The sequence below is a fragment of the Homo sapiens genome, chromosome 3 (assembly GCF_000001405.40).
Source record: "Homo sapiens chromosome 3, GRCh38.p14 Primary Assembly".
Classification (NCBI taxonomy): Eukaryota; Metazoa; Chordata; class Mammalia; order Primates; family Hominidae; genus Homo; species Homo sapiens.
Window position 1 is genome coordinate 193,223,896 of NC_000003.12, and position 17,129 is coordinate 193,241,024.

Consider the following 17,129-nt stretch of genomic DNA (forward strand, 5'->3'; position numbering starts at 1 on the left):
AATGTTACTTCTGTTAGCTCTCTATTCCCTTTTCCTCCTTGTTTGTGGTATTGTCATACATATCTATTAATGTTAAAAACCCGACAATATATTATTATAATTTTAATTTACTGTCTATCATTATTTCCTTAGGCAATATGGTTTTGCTCCCATTCATCTTCTTTGTTCTCTGATTGGCAAATATATTACATGCATTACATTTCTATATGCTTGTTATAGTCTCCACAATACATTAGCTACATATTATTATTATTATTATTATTATTATTATTATTATTATTTTTGAGAGGGAGTCTTGCTCTGTCATCCAGGCTGGAGTGCAGTGGCAAAATCTTGGCTCATTGCTACCTCTGCCTCCCAGGTCCAGGTGACTCTCCTGTCTCAGCCTCCTGAGTACCTGGAAATACAGGCATGTGCCACCACACCTGCTTAATTTTTTCTATTTTAAGTGGAGTCAGGGTTTTACCATATTGGCCAGGATGGTCTTGAACTCCTGACCTCAGGTGATCTGCCCACCTCGGCCTCCCAAAGTGCTAGGATTACAGGTATGAGCCACAGCACCCAGCTGATACATATTATTTTATACAGTTGCTTTTTAAATCTATTAGCAGAAGAAAGAAGAAAAATATGCATTTATAGTTTCTTTATAATTTCTTAATTTCCTTTACAAGTACTTTGTTCTGCCAGATAAAATCTACTGTTGAGCCCATCTAGTTATTTTTATTGCAATTATTGAAGTTTTCAACCTCAGAATTTTCATTTGGTTATTTCTAGTAACTTGTATGTCTTTAGAGGTATTCTCTATTTGATATATTGTCATCATGCCTTCCTTTACTTCTTTAATTATGCTTCCCCTTAGTTCTGTCAATGTATTTGTGATAACTACCTTAAAATCATTTTCTGTTAGTCTGACATTGAAACTGCCTTTGCAAAAATCATAACTGAGAAAATTATGACACTGAACAATATCAGACCTAGCTGACCTCATCTTGCTTCTAACCTCTAAACTGTCCTTGTCCATTCCTGGGCATAGGCCAAACTAACTTTGGAAAGGAATTTAGTGTATAGTTTATATAATAGCTCTTCCCAAAAGGCTAAACTGTTCTAGCAAAACAAATGAAAGGCCACCAGCCACCAAGTCAAGATGAGAGGAGCTGAATTTTAAATATTACCAGCCATAATTCCAGAGGTCATGAGATTTGTAGCTTCCCCAGTTCCTCTTCAAGGTAACATCACTATTGTGAACCTAAGATCGGCCTTTGGAGATGTCTTTTCAGGTTTTTGCATTTCTAACATCCAGATAGCTCCCCCGGACCTGCCAGCCCGTTCTATGGCACCCACCCAGGAACTAACTTAGTAGAAGAGAACAGCTTTGACTCCCTATGAGTTCATCCCTGAGCCAAGCAGTCAGCACTCCTGATTCACTGGCCCCCTACCCACCATATTATCCTTAAAAACTCTGATCCCCGAGTTTTCGGGGAGACTGATTTGAGTAATAATAAAACTCCAGTCTCCTGCACAGCCGGCTCTGAGTGAATTACTCTTTCTCTATTGCAATTCCCCTGTCTTGATAAATCAACTCTGTCTAGGCAGAGGGCAAGGTGAACCCCTTGGGCAGTTACAACATCTGGTCACTCTGAAAGGCAGTTTGTCTTGTCTTCTTTTATTTAGGTGTATCATAGTTTTCTGTTTCTTTTCATGCCTTGTAATTTTTTATTAGAAACTGGACACTTTAGATAATATATTGTAGCAATTCTGGGCACTGCCAGGCCTCTGGGGCTTATAATTATTATTTATTTGTTTATCTGTTGAGTGACTCCCTAGGTTTAGTTAAATCTAGCCTGTCAGCTCTATAGTGTTCAGCCTCTGATATTTGTGCTCAGGGAGATGGAACTTGGTCTATGTTCACAGTCGCCCTCGGGTAACAGTGGCACTTGCAGGACTCCTCTACTCTTTTCCTGACCATATCCAGCTGTTAATCTCTACTGACTTTCTCAGCAGTTACTTGCCCATTGAGAGTTCTATTGTTTTCAACAATGCCCTGAGGATAAATTCTTCTTCAAACCGGTCTAATCAACTTTCAGTTCCCTTGGCAGAACAGTTTCTGAGGTAAAAGTTTGATATTTGTCCTAACCCTAGAAATGTTCCTCCCAGCTGCCCTATTCCCTGGCTCTCTCCTGCAAAGTAGCTGGCTTATAGTCTAGGCTGTATCTCCATTAGACCCATGGATCTCCTCCCAACTTTCTATTACTCCAACCTCTACTATCTGCAGAGTGGCCTTAGGTTTAAACTTCTCCACGTATCATTGCATCTAAAGTCAGTTTGGGGGAAGAGATTAGGCATGATCTGTCATATGGCTGGCTTCTTCTCCCAGGCAAAACCTCTGAGCCAGGGCTCTGGAAATGGAGGTGGAGACAATGGCAAGCTCTTTTCCGAGTGACACTCCACTCTAGAAGCTGACAGCTAAGTGGAAGGGGAAGAGATTCAATACTCTGGGGTCCTTTAGGCTTGTCACTTTTAGTGTGAAACTAGCACCTCACTAGCAGAGAGCTTCTGGGGGCTGCAGTATTTTAAGCATATCACACTCAAGGTAGAGTCTCAGATCCATGAGTGGAAATTGGGTGGAGAAATGGAGCCTCCACACAATCACACCAACTTGGGACTTAAGCTCAGCAATGGGCAGCTGAAGACAGAATGAGAAATTCCTGCTTCTCCCTGGAAGAAGCTCTCCAGCTGGGAGCTAAAAGGAGAGGGGGCTCTGTATTCTTGGTTGCAGAAATCTCCACCCGGCTTAGCTTGGAGGGGAAAGGAAAAAAGGAGTCTTTGTTCAGCTACCACAGACTCTCATCTTTCTTACTAAATGTTCATAGATGTTTCTTCATTTGCTATTTACCCTTCGACCATTTCCAGAGAGGCTTCAAAAGTTTGCTTTGTTTTTTAAAAAATAATTTTTGCAAGTTTTATTGGAAAACAGGTCACTGGAGCTTCTCATCCTACTGTGCCAGAAATCAGTCTCCTCGAAGCACGTGTTAATGGATATACTTCACAGTGTTCTGAAACAAAAGTCGGAGATACCTCAGAAATGGACTTGAGTTTTATAATTTCATAATTTATCCTAGACCCAGGAAAATTCCAGTTTGACTATTGGCCAGCAGTAATCGATTTACATAACTAGGCTCAACGTGGGCAATTTGCATAATTTACAACAATAGAATACAGGTTACTTGTAATCTAAGGAAGGACAAACCTCCTACTGAGACAGTCAAGTAAAAAGGGGTCGCTGAAGAATCTCTGACTGGCATGCACACTGGGAAGATGGAGTGGAGCCTCTGAAAGTTTGTGCTGTTTGCAAGGTCGAGGAGCCTGGCCTCTCCTGTTCCTGCGTGGCAACCTGGGATTCAATCTGTGAGGTGAGAAACCTGCTAGCAGGACTCTATCTCACTTTGCTGATGGTTCCTGCTTCCCTTTTTTTTCCACCCAATAAATGCAGCCCTACTCACCCTACAATGTGTCTACGTGCCTAAATTATCCTGGTTGTGTGACAAGAACCTGGGTTTTTTCTACAACACTACCATGTGAGTACAGAGGATGAAAAGGGCTGTCTTTCTTTCTCTTTGTAGAATACAAATCCAATTAGTTCTTGACTGGTTATTTTAATTTGGTCTAGAAAAAGAAATGAGCCTCCAGATTTTATTTTAATCAATAAATTCAGCCTTTTTCTGACTAAAATTTTTCTTCTCAGTTTTATTAAAAAGTAAGCAAAGTGAACAGGATTAATTTTGCAACTTCCCTGTAGTTGAAATGCTAATCCACAGTGAAATGTCTATGAAACAGAAGCCAAACCAGGTAATCTTCATATCAATTAGGATTAGTTGTAGTTGCATATAAGAGGAAAACCAAAATAGCATTTACTTAAACTCTCAGGATTTATTCTTCTAGCATAAAAGAAGGTAAAGTGGGTAGCAGTGCTGACATGAATGCTCCAAAAAAATAATTAGGAACTCAGGCTTTTTCTGTCTCTCTGCATAAGGTTGCTTCACGGTCCAATACAACTACCAGAGCTCTGCCTCCATGTTTGTATGTCACGTAAAAGAAATGAAGAAGCAGGAGGAAAGCAGGATGTCCCCCTCAGCTGCATCAACTCCCTTTTCTGTAAATACTGATAGAGACAGGAGACAGGGACATATGGGTAGAAGAGGGCAGTTCCCCGGCAAAGGCCCCACCCGCAAGCCTGGATACCTGGAGCCCTAAATAAGAACAGGTATTTCTGTTTTCATGCCCCAAAAGTTGCCTGTTGGCCTGCCACACCCCCTATCCTGCTCCCATATAAACCCCAAACTCCAGAGCAGACCAACAGATCAGCAGACCAGCAGACCAATGATGGCAGAATAATGTGGCAGAGAAAGAGAGAAGAGGAGGAATGTCTGGACACCAAGGGGAGTTCAGCTGGGGGCGGTTGGAGAAGAGTCCAGCTGCTGGGTGTCCTGACTCCAGGGAAAGATCACCTTCCTACTCCATCCCCGCTGCTGGCTCCCCAACCATCTCGCTGAGAGCGACCTCCACCACTCAATAAAACCTTGCACTCATCCTTTGAGCCTGTGTGTGATCCGATTCTTCTGGGACACTGGGCAAGAGCTTAGGACACAGAAGGCTGTCACACTGGCCCTTTGCCCTTACGATAAGGCAGAGAGTCCATTGAGCTGATTAACACTCAAGCCATCTGCAGATGGCAAAGCTGAAAGAGCTTTGTAACACTGGGGTTGCAGCACCCTGCCCTAGACACTACCCCAGGGCCGAGAGCCCAAAGCACTTATCCCGGCCTCTGCACCTGCCCGTCTGCATGCTCCTTCTAGGTGTCTGAGCTGTGGGATGACACAAACAGGTGAGCCACACCCCTGGTGCGTCTTGTGAGAGGAAATCAGGGAACTCTCCCATTTCAATACCACAAGATTATTCTATGGTCATGCTTCCATTTTCATCTTATTGCCTGAAACATAGTCACATAATCACAGATAACATTACAGGAGGTTGGTAAACGTAAGTTTCAGATGTGCACATTGCCAGTTCAAGTAAAAGTGGAGAAAGAAGTAGAGAAAGCCTTTTGCTTGGGCAATTACCCATTATAAAAACAATGTGAGAAATAATCATCCACACCCCTGCTTCCTCCCACCTCAATCTATTGAAGTTGAGTGTACAGAGAAACCATGCAGAGTAAAATGTATACCTGACCTGACACTTTTAACCCAAATACCTCTCTCAACAATCCTAAGAGAAATTTTAGCTGTTAGTGGACCTCACAAAGTCAGGGACCTGACTGGAGAGTTAGGCATCCAGGTTGTGGAGTCAGGCTCTGCACACTTAAGCATTGTGACTTCATTTTTCTCAACTGTAAAATACAGCTATCAAGCGAACCTTCCTCAAAGGATTGGTGTGGGTTAAGAGAATGCAGGACAATTGTTAACGATTGTGCCTAGTATATAGTGACCATTCTGTAGGAGTTAGCTGTTATTATTACTCTCTACAGCAGCTTTCCTTTTAAACACTTTTAAACACTTCAACCAAAATAGACTTATCATTCTATTCTAAGCAGAATAAGACTATATGTCCTTTTGTATGTCTAATAACATAGAGCAACACCATTGCTCTAAGGATATAACCAGGATTTTCCATGCAGGTTAGTGAGTCACCTCTCTGATAGGTGCACAGATATCTGTAGACATGGCTTTTATTTGCCTTGTAGTCAATGCCCAGGTCCCATGTAGCTAAACTGAGTCTGGACATGTGGCCTCACAAATAAATGCTACCAATGGTGACAACTGGTCAATGTGCTTTGAATAGGCACAGTGTAGGAAAGGTTCCAGGTTACTGGTGGTAGAGGTTGGTCTTTCACTTGCATTTTAAAATGTGTCTCAGGCATTGTACTCAACTTGATATTGCTGAATAAATAAGTGTCTGTATTTCAGGCATTGTATTTAATTTGACCTTCCTGAGGAAAACAGACAATGCAGGGTTAAGATATAAACAATACTATATTATAACTCTCTGTCCCTCTGGTGAATTTTCTATTTCGTAAAGTGATTTCAAGTTCTTTATATCCTCTGAATTTCGTAAGAATCCAGTAAGGTCAGCAGAGCAGGAGAAAGGATTGTTTTCCATATTTTGCACATGAGGAAACAGACTCAGTTCCTATAGGAAGTCATATGAATTTCAACCACAGAGCCAAGACTAGAATTCAGGCCTTCTGACTACAAGCTGGTTTCTATTCAGCTCCACCAGAAAGCAAATCAGCAGGGAGGCTGCTGAATAGCTTCTGAGTTATCAGAAAGCTGAATTTGCTAGCAGCTTCTGGAACAGCAGTGACGACAGCAGGTAAGGCAGGGCAGCTGTTTTTATAAGGTTATAATTTTGTGTTAGGAGCTTCCATAGATCGTCCTTCATTTACTCTCAAGGAGTCACTGGGATGTACCTTACTTTCATTTATATCTGAGGTCTTGCAGGGATGCAGTATCAGAGTAGTGAGAACTCCCACTTGTGATTAGCAAAATGACTCCCTGGTGAGAACAATAATATAAAGGGGGATAGAAAATGAAAGAGAGGCGAACTTGTTCATTTTTTCATTCCTCTGTGACTGCATACACCTGCAGTTCTGAGTTAGGTATTATCAACAGAAATGTGAATAATATCCAGGCTTGATACTGAGGAGTTTACAGTCTACTGCAGGAAAGAGAAAAGCATCTACGATAAACATTATCTTAGAAAGTTCTGAAAGAAACACAATGAGAAAAAAGAAGGGGGAAATGCTGCTTCATTTTTGGAGTGGTTTGAACTAGGCCTTGAAATCTAGGAGCATTTACCATTGAAACAGGAGGCGTTAAGGGCATAATGGACATGGAGACAAGATGCCATCTGTCATGCTCAGGGAATTTTAAGTAGTTCAATGTGGCTAGAACATATGGTATAGGGACTGGGGCTGGTTGAGTCAGACAGGGAGGTGGAGACGGGAGATGAAGCCTGCAAGGTATAATGGGTACCTGATATCCACATTAAAACGAAGGGCTGAGAAATTTACACTTCATCTTACAGGTGCTAGAGAAGGGTTTAATCAGAGGAGTGACATGATCAGATCAGTGTTAGAAACTTCTGGTGGTCCGGTGGAGGTTGAAATGGGGTGGGCAGGGAAAGTAACTCAGCAGGAAAATGAACACTTTGCTGGTAGTGGAGATTTTTTCTTTTTCTTTTTTACAGTTCCTTTCCCTTAAACTTGCTTCTCTTCTTTTATGCATTTTTTCAGTAGTTTTCAGGCACTCTGGAGTTATTAGTACTATTTCCAACTAGCCCAGGAGTTACCTCAAATGGCCAACCTGTATATTCATGAGACACCATGTTAATTCCATTAGACGGTCATTAAAAGAGATCTGAAGAGTCCTGAGGCACGCTGCAAAGTCCCTCACGCAAACACGGAGAGGCTGCTGTGCTGCAGCCATGCCATGGAGCCACAGCACGTCCAGGCATGTCTTTGCCTTTAGGTCCATCACAGGCCAGTTTGCCTCAGATAACCTCACTGTGCTTTATATACAAAATTCCAGGCTCTGTCTTCTAAGCTTCCAAGTGTTAGCTGGATTAGACAGATACTGCGAATCAGTAGCTCAAGGATTCTTGACATTTCTTATAGCAATAAGCCACAGGGAATGGCATCACTATTCAAAGTTTAACATTAAGAAGCTGAGCTTGGGGAAGCCCTAGGAAGAGTAAAGATTAGTTATCTGCTTTAAAAAAAAAAAAAGAGGACGGAGGCTGTTCTAGTCAGCTTAGAGGGCACTGGTTCAACTGGCTCTATGGTCCTAATGGAATCAATATTCAGGCAGAGAAAAAAGGTCACTTGGTTTCTCTCTCTTTTTTTTTTTTATAGTCTGAGCAAGAGAATAATGGGAAGGTGTGATCCACTTTATATGAGGCAATGTCTTTTATATCTTTTGAAATAAATATCATGCTACAATTTCTTATTAACAGGTTTGCAATTCTTTTTTACTTAGAAATGAAATATTTGTTCCCCCTATATTCTTAAATCTACTTTGTCAAAGATTTATTTCCACCATATTCTTCCAAGTTTCTTGGAATGATCACATTTCGACTTGGGTAGAAACAATAATAGCTAACACTTACATAGTATTTTCCAGGCATTGTTCTAAGTATTTATTATTTATTAAGTTGTTTAATCCTCACGTTAACCTAAAGAGGTAGGTCTTCATAGGAGGTGATGGGAAAATAGGAGAATAAAGAGGTTAAGTAATCTGCCAGCATCACACTTCTACACATGGCAAGGCTGGAATATAAAACCAGGTAGTCAGTCCTGCTTACCTCTTAGGGAACATCCCAGCCAAGAGTTCATCCATGGCAAGTACAATAATTTTGTTGAGAATCAAATTATCTCAAGGGCAATGTGTTCACTTTTCATGGTCAAGCTCTTCTTCTTTTTTGATAATTTAACAGAAAGAACTGGAAGCCATTTTCTAATGGATTGGAGAACCTGCCAATTCAATACTATGATGCATTACATGTGAACTTGGGGCAACAGGCCTGTGTCCCTATCCCAGATGCTGCATTTGACAAAGGATTTCACAGCCAGTGGTGATTTTAATGAATCCTATCTCACCTGTTTCTCATTCATGCTTTTTTGCAAAATATATCTGAGTGAGTAAGTATTCAAATGTAATTCATTTTAAAATGGCTGCCTCATATGTCATCATGTCATTATAAAATGTGAAAAGCTCTTTTTCACTTTAAATAGTCACAGGAGAAAACAGTAGCATTACAAAATATCTGTGTGATCACACAATGCAGAGCTTACATGACAGTCGGGTAGGGCAAGCATCTATGTCTTAAGGTCCAAGCTTTCACACCCTCTGATTCTAGGACTCTGGGATTCTGAGTCATTATTTTCTTTTGGGCCAGAAAATTGGAATCATGGGACACAAAATATTTGAAATTACAAGGTAAAGAGGGTCTCTTCACTTCCTCTCTCTCTACCCTGGAGTCCTGTACAGGTTGCTTTCTTGCCTAGTGACCCACATATCAGGCCTGAAATACATGCCTTCACTCATGATTGATGTATTAGGCTATGGATAGCTCAGGGAAGACATGAAAAAGGGAGCTTATTTGGACATCTAAATCCTAGTGTCTTTTCTAGACTCCCTTAGAACTTGGAGGACACTGTCGTGGGCCACACCATCAACCTGCCAAAAATCAAGCTTTTGTGAATTATTCAAAAGGAAAAGTAAATTGCTAGGTAACACTCTAAGTGTCTGATTTACAAATGTTACATAAAAACCAAGTCTTGGCACTTTTGCAAAGCATAAATTGGGATATAAAATCAAGTATGACAGTACTCCCTCCGGCCTGCTCTCACTCCCAACCCCACTCCCACCCACACACCTGCACTGGTCTCTCAGCCAACTTTCTCTCAGCTTCTCTCCGTCTGTCCCAATCTGAAGTTGCATAGCTTTGGCCATTTTTCCTCATTTGCCTTCTATCTTATATACCCTTCTATCAACCTTCCCTAATTATAAAATTATATACATAATTTTTCCACATAATTATTTGAAAATGTTTTCCTTTAACAAAATAGTAATTAAATTGGAATGATAAGTCATATAAATGGTTACATATTCAGGATATAAAGGGTGGAAAAAATAGGGGCACTCCACAGTGAAAACACTCAGTTGAGTGCTTTTAAATCTCATGGTTTACCAAATCTCTAATCAGCCATGTGATATGCATAAGGTGTCCTAATTATGGCATTTTATTGGGATGGTGCTGTTATTAATCATACTATTTTATCTTGTCTGTCTCCTTTGCTAAAGTTTAGAAAAATCAAATACTTTCCTAACCTCTCTTGCAAATAAAGGTAGCCCTTGACCCAGGTCTTTAAAGAATAAATTTTTTGTTTTTAATTGACACATACTAATTGTATGTATTTATGAGAGAAAGTGTAATGTATCAATATAGTTATACATTGTGTAATAATCAAATCAGGGAACTTATCATTTCTTTGTGATGAGAACATTCAAAATCCTCTTTTCTAGCCATTTAAAAATATATACATTTTAAAAAATATTTAAAATGTACATTTTAAATATAACTACAATATTGTTAACCATAGTTGCCCTACTGTACAATAGAACAGAAGAGCTTCTTCCTCCTCTCCACCCATATGACCTAGTTCTAATCAAGAAAATGTAAAGGGAAATCTGATAGAAGATTCTCAGGGAGGTATTTGTCTCCCTGTTAAAAGTACTGGAGGAAAAGCCTTTTTTTTCGGTAGGCTCCAGATGTTCCAGTGGATAACCTCAAGGTGCATGGCGCCAGGGAGTGACTGCCCTCAGTGTACCTTCTGGCAGCAGGAGCAGAAGCGAGTTTGTCCACATCCTGCATTCATGATAAACAGTTTGCTGTTTGATCATATAGCCTCCAGTGGAATGCTGAGTTGGTCACCACCCTCAGGCTTTCAGCTCCCAACACCACTGCTTCCTATTTCTGCAGGTGGTTGTATGGTGGAGCTGCAGCAGCCACCCGGAAGCAAGGAGAAGAAGGTCAAGGGACACTGACAGAAGCACTTGATATCCTCCAGGTGTTGAAGTATTCATTCAACAACTAGTTATTGGATGCTTATTACATTCCATGCACTGCACTAGTGCTAGGAATTCAAATGTAAAAACAATGCCCCTGTTTTCAGGGAGCTTACATTTTAATAGGGAGCAAGACAGCCAATAATAAATATATATCAGGTAGAGTTTAGAGCTATTGTTAAAACAATGAAGCAGGGTAAGGGAGCTGAAAAGTGATGGGGTGATATTGTATATAGGTTTATAAAGGAATATCTAACTGATAAAATCACATTTGAGAGACATAAAGAAAATGAGAGAGTAAATCATGCAGATATTGGAGAGGGGAGCAGAATGCTCCAGGAAGAGGATACAGCATATGCAAAGACCCTGAAGGAAGGCACGACTCAGCATATTCAAGAAGTAGCAAGAAGACCAGAGTGGCAAGTACTGAGTGAACAACAGGGAAAATGAAGGGAATGAGATTAGAGTTCACCAAGGTTCAGATCTTCTAGAGGCCTGGAAGCTATAGTAATGATTTTAGATTTTATTTTGAAAGACATACGAAATTATTGGAAGATTTTGAGCAGGGGAGCAACATGCTATACATTTTTTTTTTTTGAGATGGGATTAGGCTCCTGTTGCCCAGGCTGGAGTGGAATGGCACAATCTTGGCTCACTGCAACCTCTGCCTCCCGGGTTCAAGCTATTGTCCTGCCTCAGTCTCCCAAGTAGCCGGGATTACAGACGAGTGCCACCATGCCTGGCTAATTTTTGTATTTAGTAGAGACAGGGTTTCACCATGTTGGTTAGGCTGGTCTCGAACTCCTGACCTCAGGTGATCCATCCACCTTGGCCTTCCAAAGTGCTGGGATTACAGGTGTGAGCCACAGTGCCCAGCCCATGCTATAAAATTTTAACAGAACCTTTCTGGCTGCTGGATATAGAAAATGTTAAATGAGAACAAGGAAGAAAACAGATAAGCTAGAAAAATGTTACTAAAAGAAGAGTTTCTGGACACAAGTGGAAGTGATGGAGGTAGGGAGAAAGGCTGGATTCTAGATATATTTTAAAGGTTAAAGCAACAAGTTTTTCTGAGGGATTTGATGCAAAGTATCAATCCAGCAAGGGCCTATCTTCAGACTTCTTAATATATGAGAAAAATAAACCTCTGTTGTTTAAGCCACTATTATTAATGTGGTCTTCTCTTACTTGCAGCTGAAAGTATTCCTAATACAACTGGAAGCAAACTATTATTTCTTCAATGTGCTCTCTTTTTTTTCCCCCAGTCTTATGAGTTAAAACTAAATCACCAGAGTCTTGGATCATTACAAACTCTTGCACGAGGGTTTATCTACATAATTTACTTAATTATTAAACTCCATTAAAAATACATTAGAATAAACAAATATTGAGGCCCAGAGAGCTCAAAAACAAACAAACAAACAAACAACAACAACAAAACAAGGTTGATTTGCTTACTTGGATTTTGCCGGAGAATTGCATGGGAGAAAAGAAGAGAAACCTGGTCCACAAAAAGAAGATAACTTAAAGCACTTCTTTTAGGTGAAAACAATCAGTGTGAACTAATCTCATTGTTTCTGGTGAAAAGTATGGCAAGTCAGTTGCAAGACTGAGAAACTCTGGCATATACTAAATGATTTTTAAAAAGAGACCCCTTTTGAATGCTCTGGATAATAGCAGTGCTGTCCAGTAGAAATATAATGCTAGCCACATATATATTTTAAAATATTTTAGTAAGCATATTAAAACAATTTTTAAAACAGCTGAAATTAGCATTTACTATTCAAATCAATATATTCAAATATTATTTCACGTGAGCCCCTAAGTGTTCAGTAATCACATGTGGCTAATGGCTCTCCTATTGAACAGTCCATCTTTAGAAGACCAAACACAAAAAAAAACTTTAAAGGAAAACTGTGGGAATAAAACATGAAGTACGTTTAAGAACTCAATAATTTTACCTCTGTTTCAACCCAAACACAGACCATTTCCAAGTTATTAAAGTTTAGAATAAGATTTGAGAAAGAATCCAGGACTTGGCAATGGAAGAGAATGTGGGCATAATAGTACTCATTGAGATTGATGTAAGGATTAAACGAGATGAGATGTATGTTTTAATAAAAGAATGCCATATGAATATGCCTTTATGAAATAGCATTACTTCTTTATTTTATTAGAGTATCAGTCTGTGGTTAAATAAACACTTCAGATATTTGTAGGCGATTCTTTCCCCCAAATATCATCATGCTCTTTGCTTTCACAATCATTATACGTTACGAAACACTGATAAGAAACATATTTAAATACCCAGGAATAATCAGTTTGGAAAAAACTGGGGGCATTCTCTCCTAACATCCAAGAAATATCTTTCTTTGCACACATGGAAAATCTACTAGAGAGTTTTTGACTATGGCTACAAATGTGTGGGAAAGGGAAATGCTGATGACTTTTCAAGGCTTTCCTGACTAAAAAATCTGACACTGTAAAAAAAGGACACTGTATTCTGAAAGGTACAAGTACATATAAATAAATAAACATGTTTTTTTTTTCTCAGTAATATCTGAGACTTCTGAATTCCTCTGTAATTACATTTAGCAGGGGAAAAACAACCTCATCCATGCCTGTGCATAGCAGCTCCCAGCAATCTGTCGGCTTTTCACAGCATAGTAACCCACTGATCGCTGTCTTAGCTCTTCAATAAATACCGCAGGCCGTGTGTGTGTGCTTACAGAACTTCACAGGTTTCCATGGATACATGAATTTTAGTGCTAAAGCACATTTACTATCACTTTTCTTGTCACCAAGAATCCTGTAAACACTTGTGCTTTAAGCTTTTGTGCAGAAATTTAGCATTTCGTAGAGGACAAGTCAGAATTACCTTTTTCCAAATGCATTGTATGATTTTCCTGTAGGGCGAAATCCCCAAAATCATTGATATTTGTGGCCTGTTTTTAGTCATGCACTTTTATTTATTAAACCAATAAAAGATAATAAAGGTTTAACTACATTGTCAGTACCACTTTTAAATGACAGAAATGTATACTATTTAAATGTTACAATTAATAAATGAGATAACTTCCTCTGAATTTAAAATGCAAAGAGAGAAATAGGAAATGCAGAAGTAGGAATATTATGTTGATATTTAGCCACTTCCTAAATATGGTGAAATTTAAGAATAATTTTCAAGTATATTTTTGTGTCATACCCATAGCTTAAATTTAATCTTTCTTTTTTTTTTTTTTTTTTTTTTTTTTGAGACGGAGTCCCGCTGTTTAGCCCAGGCCGGATTGCAGTGGCGCAATCTCGGCTCACTGCAAGCTCCGCCTCCCAGGTTCACGCCATTCTCCTGCCTCAGCCTCCCGAGTAGCTGGGACTACAGGCGCCCGCCACCGCGCCCGGCTAATTTTTTGTATTTTTAGTAGAGACGGGGTTTCACCGTGTTAGCCAAGATGGTCTCGATCTCCTGACCTTGTGATCCGCCCGCCTCGGCCTCCCAAAGTGCTGGGATTACAGGCGTGAGCCACCGCGCCCAGCCAATTTAATCTTTCTTATACATACTAAGCTTTTTGGATATTTAAAAGACCTTTTCACAAATCTGTGAAGATGGCAGGCTATGTTACTATTTTTCCTGTTTCGTATATATATAAGCTGAGGCTCAGAGGTTTAACAAACATGCTTCTTATCATACAGCTAGCAAATGGTAGAACCAGGCTTAGAACCCAAGACTCATGACTCATTGCCTTTCCATTGTCTTTTTTTTTCTGAGAAGAATGCAGGCAACTCTTTATATAGAAGACATAGCTATGTTCTTCCTTCCTTGCCACATGCTGATAGATTCCCATGTCTCTGGTGTAGCCTCCATTACATTATTCTTTTCTTCATTCGTCCCTTGACTGCTCCACAGACTTGACTTAGCCTAATTTACCAAGCTTAGTCATTTCAGATGAATATAATCATCAGGAAGCAGCAGTTGCAGAGACATTACCTAGCTTGGATGTGCAGTACGTGAAAAACCTGTAAGCAAACAGATTTTCAGTTGCAATGATATTGACCAGAAATACACAAAGCAGATTGAATTAGAGGGTTAAGTAATTTGTACAGGAAAAAAATCCAGTCTGAGCAGGCAGGTGGCCTGGACATTCAAGTCAAGAAAAAAGCTTTTACTTTTACAGCATAGATTTTAGGGGCTGAGGTTGGAACTATTGGAATGATTGTCTCAACTCTTACTAGCTCACATAAAACGTAGCCAACCATCTCTGCATTATCTTGGCAAATATTTCAGTTATTTGTGCAGCTCTTTTATTTTTGTGGTTTTGAAAACCTATTAAAAAAAAGGTTTTTCTTTTGCTGTCTGATAAAAGAGGGAGTCTGGGTAGGGGAAGAGCTCTTGCCTAAGAGGCCTGACTTCAGTTCTACCCCAGGAGAACTGGAATACAGAGCTCCACATCTCAGGCCTCACACCAACTGCCAGGACTGAGCAGTCACAAGTTTGCTGAGAGGATCAAATGAGACAACAGAATCAAAGCGCTTTGCTAATTGTAAAATATGCACAAAACATATAGGGTTGTTTGAGGCCTCTGTCTAATATCACACAATGCCAATTGGTTTGAGTTTCCATGTGTTAAAAAGCCAATTGTAATTTTTGTTACCTTATAGGGCTTTTTCTGGAATGTGAACTTTATTCACTCAACAACAAACAGGACTAAGTCATCTCCATTATGCTTTTTTCAATATGTTTCAACTCTTACTATAAAATTAGGCAGCAACAGAGAATGCCAGCCACACAGGGCTTCACTTATAATGGCCAAAATAATAGGAACTGTTTATTTAAGTGTAATTTAACATCTGCTCCAATCATAGCCCCAGATTACAACTCTAGATTAAGACAAACTTTGCCTATTACTGCCCAAGGCTAAGTCCTCATTCTTTCTTAATGGAAATTTTAATTTTCCACTGCTCATCCGTAGAGTACCACCGATTGATCAACTCTCTCTCCAATCCATAGAAATGAAGAGAGAACTCAGGGCTCTCCTGAACTACAACGCTTTCTACATTTCTCCTATAAATTCCACGCAGGCATTGAATTGAATTTGTTCTTAACCAAATGCGTTTTATCTATACCTGGCAGGAATCTAGAAGTGAAATTACAAGATTTATTTCATTTTAATTCTATTATGAAGCATTTAATCACAAATACCCTGAAAATGAAAAGATAATTTATCATTTTACCTTGACTGAGCAACTCTCCTCACTTCACATTCATGAATCCATAACGCAGAGAGGAGACTGGATGATTAAGTGTTTGATTAGAGAAAACAGATTAACCTAGCAAACATAATAAATTTGGCTCATAAGCAGGATGGCTTTATAAATGCTCACAATACCTCTCCTGTATAAAATCATGAACCACTTCCTACAGTGATGACTCCATCGAAATAGTTGAGAAACATAAAGCAAATGCATGTTTATGGCTTTCTCTTTGAGACATTAAAAGGGTATTGAAAGGCATATCTGATTCAGCTTATAACTCTGGATATATATTAAGGAACATGTAAGAAAATATTAATGCATAAAAAAAGCTACAACTTCTCAAGTGTTCTAGTTTCCACTTTGTCAATAATTACGTTTTCAATGTCCTTCTGTGGACTGTTTCCAAAGGTGCCAATCCAGACCCAAAGTTTCAGATCACTCAGATTCACCCTTAACCTTCATAACACAACCCAATAGCTTTACGAAAAAAGTTGCATATTTAGGTAGTTGTTATCCCATTATGACAAAATACATAAAATTAGCGAGATATTTTTTAGCCTTCAAATAAGTGGGAAAAAATCCTTTTAGCTGAGATTCCATTTACATCAGAATAAAAATCTAAGTTATGACTAGGTTGAAGCAACGTCCTGTGCAGCGCTCCATAAAGTTCACTTAGTCTTCAAGGGTTCCTTACTTAGCTAGGTTAGTATTCCTGGCCTCTTTTTTTAGCAGTGAGAAAAAGGATACTCTCCCTGCCCCAGCTTTATTTTTAAACTCACAGCCATATCCTGGAGGTCTCTGCTGGCTATTTGGCGCGTGGGGGCGGAGGGGGGCCGGGGGAGGGGGGCGGGGCGGGGTCTGGAGGTCTGTGCTGGCTATCTGGCGTGTGTGTGTGTGTGTGTGTGTGTGTGTGTGGTTGGAGGTCTCTGCTGGCTATCTGGCGTGTGTGTGTGTGTGGTGTGGTGTGTGTAAGCAGTGAGGTTGTTTTAGGGCCAGTCCTTCCTCCGCCACTTTGCTGACTCAAAGACCCAGAGGCTTTCTTGGGGTGCAGGTACCATGATTCCTTGGGCCCTAAGGGAATTTTTGTTAGGCTAGAAGAGTGGGTGTACTCATGATGGGTGTACCCGAACATTCCTGGGCTCAACAAAACCGATTATCTTTATAACCGCGGCGCCTAGCACAGCGCCTGGTGCCCTAAACGTTGGCTGCGGGAACGTCCGAGACGCGGGTGCGGAGCCGGGGGCGGAATAACTG

General features: G+C 40.0%; 1 protein-coding gene and 1 long non-coding RNA gene across 3 annotated transcripts in view; one reads left to right on the forward strand and one right to left on the reverse strand.

Moving 5' to 3' along the window:
* Positions 1-12,772: 12,772 nt before the first annotated feature.
* LOC105374280 (uncharacterized) lies at positions 12,773-17,128 on the reverse strand. 2 transcript variants are annotated; one of them, XR_924833.3, is made up of 3 exons: positions 17,000-17,128; positions 15,855-15,950; positions 12,773-14,639 (listed from the first exon to the last, which is right to left on the reverse strand). It is a non-coding gene; the product is annotated as an uncharacterized LOC105374280 (long non-coding RNA). The 2 variants fall into 2 exon arrangements; XR_001741071.2 differs by lacking the exon at positions 17,000-17,128 and adding an exon at positions 16,655-16,700.
* Positions 16,711-17,129, forward strand: part of PLAAT1 (phospholipase A and acyltransferase 1) — a 40,821-nt gene continuing 40,402 nt past the window's right edge. Inside the window, exon 1 of the mRNA XM_047448626.1 lies at positions 16,711-16,926. The gene's annotated coding sequence lies outside the window, so the exon portion shown is untranslated. The remainder of the gene's footprint in view (positions 16,927-17,129) is intronic.